The sequence below is a fragment of the Homo sapiens genome, chromosome 17 (genome assembly GCF_000001405.40).
Source record: "Homo sapiens chromosome 17, GRCh38.p14 Primary Assembly".
Classification (NCBI taxonomy): Eukaryota; Metazoa; Chordata; class Mammalia; order Primates; family Hominidae; genus Homo; species Homo sapiens.
Window position 1 is genome coordinate 7951393 of NC_000017.11, and position 9368 is coordinate 7960760.

Sequence of the window (9368 nt, forward strand, 5' to 3'; positions counted from 1 at the left end):
AGAGTTGAAATTGAAAAAAAATAGACTGCTGGCAAGAAAACTAAACCATGTTTATAAAACTTCCATTTAAATGCTCACTAAAATGGACAAAGAAAAACAATACTAGGGAAGAAAATAACGTAGACATGAAATTTAAAAAGGCCCCAAATTCATGGTACAAACACTGAAAAGCACTCAGTCAAACTGAAACTGGAAGAGGATATCCTACCTTGAGACTCACACGCAGCTCTCAGCTCTGGCACATGGTGCAGGGTAGTGGTGATGGCAGGTACAATTCTGAAAGTGGTGTTGGCAGGTAAGAGGTGGGTGTTTGAGGGACAGAGTTTACCAGATTCTGAGAAGAAGGCAGGGCCCTTCTATCTGACCCTGAGTTATACACATGATAGGATGTGGATTCATAGAGTGTTTTGTACTAATGTTTGCATTTTACTTCCACCTAAGTAACTTTCTAGCCCCCAGGGGACGGGCAAAGGAAGAAAAGGTGAAGATGAATGACCAGACATGTGGGTTGCCCTGCTCAGCTGTGTCAGAACGGCTTGATCCTCAGCCCCGCACAGGACCACTCTCTGGCATGCACCAGCGGAGAAACTGGAGGCACACTGGCGCAGGAGCAGCCCCAGGCTTGAGGGCTTTTCCAGCCCTGTCTGTTTACCCACGTATGGAAATGTTTACTTTTCTATTTTTTACCTTAAATATGTAACACTGGTTTGACCAAACTCTCAGATTCATGGCACACTATCATCATTGGTAGGTGATGGTTTGCTACGGTTTTTAATAGCTGGTAAAGTGAACACCCAGTTCATTCTCCTCATTATCTCCTGGATTCCCGCCTACCGCCATCAGTCAGTATGCCCTACATTTTTCTTGACGTGAAGCACAGCCTGGAGAATATTCCCTGAAACAGCTCTTTAAACGCAATCCAAAAAAGGCATCATGCTGACTTAACCATGTTATGAGGTGAGTAAAACAACGTTGATTTTTAAAACTGTATATATTGGCTGGGTTCGGTGGCTCATGCCTGTAATCCCAGCACTTTGGGAGGCCGAGGTGGGTGGATCACCTGAGATCAGGAGTTTGAGACCAGCCTGGCCAACTTGGCAAAACCCCATCTCTACTAAAAATACAAAAAATTAGCCAGGTGTGGTGGCACATGCCTGTAATCTAAGCTACTCGGGAGGCTGAGGCAGGAGAATCCCTTGAACCTGGGAGGTGGAGGTTGCAGTGAGCCGAGATCGCGCCACTGCACTCCAGCCTGGGCGACAGAGTGAGACTCCATCTCAAAAAATAAATAAATACAAAATAAAACTGTATATATTATATCCACATTAAAATCTGAAGACCACCAAGGAGACTGGGGAGGAAGAGAAAACCCACAGTCAAGCAGTCCCCACTTTTTCCTCCCAGGATCGTCGTGGGAATATGCTGGGGGCGGGGGAATGAAAGATTTTAAGAGTTCATAAAAACTCACTTGCAGAGAAAGTAGGTGCAGCCTTCTTGAAGCTCAGGTTTCACAGGGTGTAGATGGGGGGTTGACCTGGGACTTTGTCTCCTAAGAACTCTCAGAGCTGTTGTGGTTGGGAGTGGGGAAGGTCCTGGAAGTGGAGTTTGTTAGGGTGAAGGCTAATAACAAACCCAGTGATACACTGACTTTTAGACAAAGTTCATTTCCCTGGTTATGGTCCAGAGCAGTGGAGTCAGTCCTGCTTTATGTGGTCACTTAGAGTCTCAGATTCCTTCCATCTCATTGCTCTGCTGTCCCCTAGAGCAGTGGTCCCCAACCTTTTTGGCAGCAGGGACGGGCTTTGTGGAAGACAGTTTTTCCACAGACAGGGGTGCGGATGGTTTGGGGATGATTCAAGCACATTACATTTATTGTGCACTTTGTTTCTATCATTATTATTATTACATTGTAATTAAACAATTATACAACTCATCATAATGTAGAATCAGTGGGAGCCCTGAGCTTGTTTTCCTGCAACTAGACGGTCCCATCAGGGGATAATGGGAGACAGTGACAGATCATCAGGCATTAGATTCTCATAAGGAGCATGCAACCCAGATCCCTCGCATGCGCAGTTCACAGTAGGGTTCACGCTCCCATGAAAATCTAAGGCCGCCGCTGATCTGACAGGAGGCGGAGCTCAGGTGGTAATGCATGTGAGCAATGGGGAGTGGCTGTAAATACAGATGAAGATTTGCTCGCTTGACCGCCGCTCACCTCGTGCTTTGCAGTCCGATTCCAAACAGTCCACAGACCGCTACTGATTGGTGGCCAGGGGTTGGGGACCCCTGCCCTAGAGCACTGTTGTTATTTGTGTGGCTGAAGCAAGATCATTGTCACTTAGGACTCCCAGCTGGCAAGCAGGGGAAAGAGCTATGTCCAATGTCTTAAGACCCATACCTGGAAATGCCACATATCAGTTTTGCTCATATTTCATTGGCAAGGCTTTGATCATATGGTCGCACCTGGCTGCAAGAGACTTAGAAACGTAGCCTAGCTGGGCCGCCACGTATGCGGCTATGACTATTATTATGCAGGAACTCAAGAGGAAGGAGAGAATGGATTTCGATAGACAACTAGCAGTCTGCCCTACACAGGATAGGACCTCCCTTAGAGGAATTGAAAACTAATAATTGCCGAGACAACCCATGCCAATAATTAGTAGTGAATGTGCAGATAATGAAAAGACGCATTGGACATGTAAGTTAGTCCAAGCTACACAATTGAACTAATTAGCTCCTACAAAACAGTTAATGCGGGAAAAAGGAAAGAACTTCAATTCCAGTCAGCATTATTATTGGAAAATGAAAGATGGTGTGAAAAAGATGCAGCCATAGAACAAGAATTTGGAGTTAAAAAACAACAAAAAGCAGAATTGACTCTACTAGAAATCATGCATATTAACTAGAAGAAAAATTGGAGGAAATCTCCAAGTTTACAAAAGGGAGAAAATATGTAAATTATGAAAGAAACAATAGAAAAAAAATGGATCCAGAACAAATATCTAGGAGAAAATACAGTAATCATTTAAAAAATAATAGAAAATTCTGATTCTGAAAGTATGGTTGAATAGATAACTCGACTCCTGCTGAATCATAACTAGATCCCGGTGGTATGACAGTAATTTTTAAAATAACTTTTAAAATTTTGTTTTATTTGCTGCCTGCCTTGTTTGGCAAACACTTTTTAATGCATTATTGGGTTGCTAAAAGTAAAGGAAGTTGAACTTGTATTTCTAGTATGAAGTGGACCTAGATAACCTGGCTGACCTTCCTACTGAAATACCTAAAAAATGTTAGATAAAATGTATTTTTAAAAAATCTTAAATGCATTGATGAGCTGGCAAGAAAGAAATATGGCAAAAATAAAGGCGGGAACATAAAGTTTAAGTGGCACATTTAAATTGCTTTTTATCAGCCGGAGGTGTCATCTTCCAGTAATTCACCAAAATGACAAACACAAAAGGATAGATAGAGGAGGGCCACCCACTCTATGTTCTCCGGGCCTTTTAGAAAACATGGAGCTGTTCCTTTGGCCACCTAGATGTGAATCTATAAGAAAGGCAGTATTGTAGGCCAGGCGCAGTGGCTCAGCCTATAATCCCAGCACTTTGGGAGGCTGAGGTGGGCGGATTGCTTGAGTCCAGGAGTTCGAGACCAGCCTGGGCAACGTGGCGAAACCCTGTCTCTACCCACCCCATCTCTACCAAAAATAAAAAAATTAACCTGGTGTGCTGGTGCGCACCTGTGGCCTCACCTACTCGGGAGGCTGAGGTGGGAAGTTCCCTTGAGCTTGGGAGGTGGAAGTTGCAGTGAGCAGAGATCGCACCACAGCACTCCAGCCTAGGTGACACAGAGAGACCCTGTCTCAAGAAAAAAAAAAAAAGAAAAAAAAAGACAATATTGTAGACATCAAGGGAATGGGTACTGTTCAAAAAGGAATGCCCCACAAGTGTCACCATGGCTAAACTGGAAGAGTCTACAGTGTGCCCCAGCATGCTGTTGGCATTGTTGTAAACAAGTTAAGGGCAAGATTCTTGCCAAGAGAATTAATGTGCGTATTGGGCACGTTAAGCACCTCTAAGAGCCAAGACTACTTCCTGAAAAGCATGAAAGAAAATGGTCGGAAAAAGAAGGAAGCCAAAGAGAAAGGTACCTGAGTTCAATGGAAATGCCAGACTGCTCCACCCAGAGGGGTAAACACTGGTAAAGACGCTCAGCCTCATTAGGAAGGAGGGCAGTGCACACTGAAATCAAGGTGATCTATCGCTTCACACCATCAGCGAGGCAACATTTGTAAGGTCCGAGTGTATCAAGTGTCGCTGAGGATGTGGAGCAATAGAAACTAAACTTAGACTCTGCTGGTGAGAGAACCGCAAAGGATAAGTAGGCCATTTCGGGAAACATTTTATCATTACTTAGTAAATGTGATGATGCACACATCCCTATGACACGCTAAATCCACCCCAGGGATGTGCCCTAGAAAAACTCTTGCCCACGTGTTCACCAGGAGACAAGAATGTCATAGCAAAAACCTGCAAGCAATCAAATGTCTGTTGCCAATGGTAGTTTCATATAATAAAATATCACACACCAGTACAAATGGATGTACTACAGTTACATGCAACCCATATGCATGAATTTCACAAGTCATGTTGAATGGGAAAAGCAGATTGCAGAAGAAAATGTACATATACTGTTTACGTAAAGCTGAAAAATCAGCACAGAGCTGGGCCCAGTGGCTCATGCCTGTAATCCCAACACTTTGGGAGGCTGAGGCAGGAGGATAGCTTGAGGCCATGAGTTCAACACAAGCCTGGGCAACACAGCAAAACCTCATCTCCCCCCCACCTCCCCCACCAAAAAAAGAAAAAAGAAAATCCCTCAGAAAAACAAAACATCCAAATGCATGTAATGCATATGTCAAATTGTATTAAGTTGCTGACAAGGGAAAATAGTAAGAAAACAAAGGAGTATTCCAGCTCTGTGGAAAGCTGCTGCTGTGTACCTACAGGAAATTCTCTGAGAGCTGGGGCTGGGCAAGAGCCAAGAGAGCTGCTGACAGCAAAGTGAGAGAAGGCAGGCCTCAGAAAGGAGAAGAGAAAGATGCCTGGCAAGCGAGAAGCAACTGGAATGCTCTGTAACTCACATTCTCTATAAATCTCCAAATTCTCTCACTAGCAGCATCTTAAAGTGTGTGTGTATTTTTTTTAACTTTTATTTTAGGTTCGGGAGTACATGTGAAGGTTTGTTACATAGGTAAATTCATGTCTTGAGGGTTTGTTGTACCGCTTATTTCAATACCCAGGTACTAAGCCCAGTGCCCAAGAATTATCTTTTCTGCCCCGCTCCCTCCTCCCACCCTCCAGCCTCAAGTAGGCAGCACTGTTTGTTGTTCCTCTCTTGGTATTCGTAAGTATTTAGCTCCCACTTATAAGTGAGAATATGCGGAATTTGGTTTTCTGTTCCTGCGTTAGTTTACTGAGGGTAATGGCCTCCCGCTCCATCCATGTTCCCACAGAAGACATGATCTCGTTCTTTTTTTTGCGGAGTCTCCCTCTGTCGCCCAGGCTGGAGTGCAGTGGTGTGATCACGGCTCACTGCAAGCTCCGCCTCCCGGGTTCACGCCATTCTCCTGCCTCAGCCTCCCGAGTAGCCGGGACTACAGGCGCCCGCCACCGCGCCCGGCTAATTTTTTTGTATTTTTAGTAGAGACGGGTTTTCACCATGCTAGCCAGGATGGTCTCGATCTCCTGACCTCAGGATCTGTCTGCCTCGGCCTCCCAAAATGCTGGGATTACAGGCGTGAGCCACCGCGTCCGGCCTTAACTGGAATTTTAAACCTTTATTTTCTCCTATAAAGCTTGTTCATTACAGAAGATTAGAAAGCAAAATTATAAATAAGAAAATAGAAATCAACTGAAATTCTGTCACCCAGAGAATCATTTTCTTTTTTAATACACTCACACACATACATAAACGGAATTACATTGTACATATAGTTCTCATCAAATTTTTTTCTCTTAATCTCATTACATATTATTTTAAAACAATTTTCAACTGCTGTTTAATTTTATGTCCTCAAGGTATACCATAATTTATATGACCATAATTTATATGACTGTTGTTATATAAATTTATATATATTTATATAATTTTATATAAAATATATATATAATATAAATTTATTTAGTCCCCACTTATTGGACTAAATAAATATTTACCATTCTTTGCTGTTATAAATAATGATGAATGAATATTCTCATATGTACACCTTGGTGTCTCTGTTTTCTAGAAGTGGAATTACTGGTTCGAACAGTCTGAACATTTTTAAGATCCTTAAAACATAATGCCAAATTGTTTTTCAAAAAGATCGCACCAGTTTACACTTCCACCAGATGTGTAGTAAAAGTACAAATAATACTCACTGAGGACACCCTGGCGTGTCATTTCCCATGCTAGAATGCCTTGCCCTTATTTGCTTGAAATGAACTTACAGAGTAACCTCTGTGTGCATGTGACCTGGACAGGTTGCCTTCAGGGCATAGATTTGTCAGTGTCCCACAAGGCATTTTTTGGATGATGTATCCATTAGGATGATTTTGGTGGCACGTAATTGAAACCCTGACTCACGTTGTCTTTAGCAAGAAGGACACAGAAACAGGGTGGGCTCCGAGTGTGGTAAGGTTAATGGCACAATGAAGTCAGGAACTCAGGTTCTTTTTTTTGAGATGGAGTTTCCCTCGTCGCCCAGGTTGGAGTGTACTGGCACAATCTTGGCTCACCTCCCATGTTCAAGTGATTCTCCTGCCTCAGCCTCCCAAGTAGCTGGGATTACAGGCACTCGCCACCATGCCTGGTTAATTTTTGTATTTTTAGTAGGGACGGGGTTTCACCATCTTGGTCAGGCTGGTCTGGAACTCCTGACCTCGTGAGCCACCCGCCTCGGCCTCCCAAAGTGCTGGGATTACAAGCTGAACCGCCACACCCTGCCAGGAACTCAGGTTCTTTTCGTGTCTATCCTTCCCTCCTCAACACCGGCTTCCTCCTCAGACTGGCTGCAGGTGTTTCAGGGCTCTATCCAGATGTAACAAAGCCCATGGCCACATAGGCTGTGCACCACCACGCCCGGCTAATTTTTTGTATTTTTAGGAGAGAAGGGGTTTCAGTGTGTTAGCCAGGATGGTCTCGATCTCCTGACCTCATGATCCGCCCGCCTGGTCCTCCCAAAGTGCTGGGATTACAGGCATGAGCCACCGTGGCTGGCTATGGTAATTATTTTTGAAATGTACATGGCCAGGCATGGTGCTCAAGCCTGTAATCCCAGCACTTTGGGAGGCCAAGTCAGGAGGATCGCCTAAGTCCAGTAGTTCAAGACCCACCTGGGCAGCAAAGTGAGACCCTCGCCTCTACAAAAAATTTAAAATTAGTCAGGAGTGGTGGCACGTGCCTGTAGTCCCCATTACTCGGGAGGCTTGATCTCAGGAGGTTGAGGCTGCAGTGAGCTGTGTTCATGTCACTGCAGTCCAGCCTGAGTGACAGAGCAAGACTCTGTCTCAAAAAAAGTCCAAAAACCCAAAAAGAAAAACCCAAAATAAATAAAAACATACAAATTTTCAATAAATATACATCAAAATATGCAAATTAAGGAAGTGTAGAATCTTTTAATTTTAAATTGTCATGTTTTAGAAGTGATTTTTCTTCTAGTATTTTAAAAATCTTTATCTTCTGAAAATATTTTCAACTATTAAGATAAAAAATGCAGCCGGGTGTCGTGGCTTATGACTGTAATCCCAGCGCTTTGGGAGGCCAAGGTGGGCGGATCACTTGAGGTCAGGAGTTCAAGCCCCGCCTGGCCAACATGGTGAAACCCCTTCTCTACTAAAAAAAAATAGAAAAATTAGCCGGTGTGGTGGCATGTGCCTGTAGTCCCAGCCACTTGGGAGGCTGAGACAGTAGAATGGCTTGAACCTGGGAGGCAGAGGTTGCAGTGGGCTGAGATCACGGCACTGCACTCCAGCCTGGGCAACAGAGCAAGACTCCATCTCGAAAAAAAAAGAAAGATGAAAAATGCAAGTTATAACTAATAAATATTAAACATTTAAGCAAAATCATTCTAATAAAGCTGAAATACTTAAATTTTTGAAAATTTATTAAATCATCTTCACAAAAGTATTTGTGGTTCTAGCATTCAATATCAACAGTTGCCAGTATGAAAAACCAGCATCCTACTTCATCTCTGCTATATCTAGACATACATGCACACCAACTTAAGAGCAATATGGAGTGTTTGCTATTACGGAATGTTCCTGGGCAGTCTTGTGCAATGGTTGTGGGCACTGTTAGTTTATGAGAACTACCTACTTGATAGCTAACAGTTAGATTGTCCCATAGACAAAGATCAGTGTGTTCCAAACTGAACTCACTGGATTCCTTTCCTAAACCTGCTATTTTTCTGCTTTCTCTATCTCAGCAAAGACCTTTTCTCTGTCTCTGTCACCACTCACATCCAGTTTGTCACCATGACCTGCTGATTCTTCCTGTGTGAAATTTCTCCTCACTTCTCCCATCCTGCTCTTATTCTCTCCTGGGTTATTGGGACCACTTCACTCTTGGTCTCCCTCTGTCCTTTCATGGCTCTCTCCAAGCGTTCCCACTTGGTGTGCTCTTTCTAAAATGAAAATCGGCCAGGCGCAGTGACTCACACCTGTAATCCCGGCACTTTAGGAGGTCGAGGTGGGCAGATCACCTGAGGTCAGGAGTTCGAGACCAGCCTGACCAACATGGTGAAACCCCATGTCTACTAAAAATACAAAAATTAGCTAGGCATGGTGGCGCACGCCTGTAATCCCAGCTACTTGGGAGGCTGAGGCAGGAGAATCACTTGAACCCTGGAGGCAGAGATTGCAGTGAGCTGAGATCACACCATTGCACTCCAGCCTGGGCATCAAGAGCGAAACTCCGTCGCAAAAATAAATAAATAAATAAATAAATAGCAAATCTACTTGTCAAAATAGCATGTCTTTAATAAAAGATAAATAAAAATAAAAAACAAAATAAAACACACATCTATACTCACCTTCATGGAACCCTCCCAAATCTGAGCACAGTCCGCAGGGCCCCTGCCTCTCCCCAACATCATGCTGTGGTTGCATGTGCTTCATCCCATCCGGAGCTCCAGGCTATTGCTGCTGTTTTTCCTGTGTTCTCATCCCAGGGGCCTCTCCGGGGCAGGTGATCCTCCTTGAAATCCCCATGTCCTTCTCTGGGGCCCAGAAATTCCATCTGCTGCTCCTGTGGTCCTCTGGGCTCAGGGAAACCCCGTGGGACTCCCAAGACCCTTGTTGCTCTGTCCAGGCTGGGCCAGG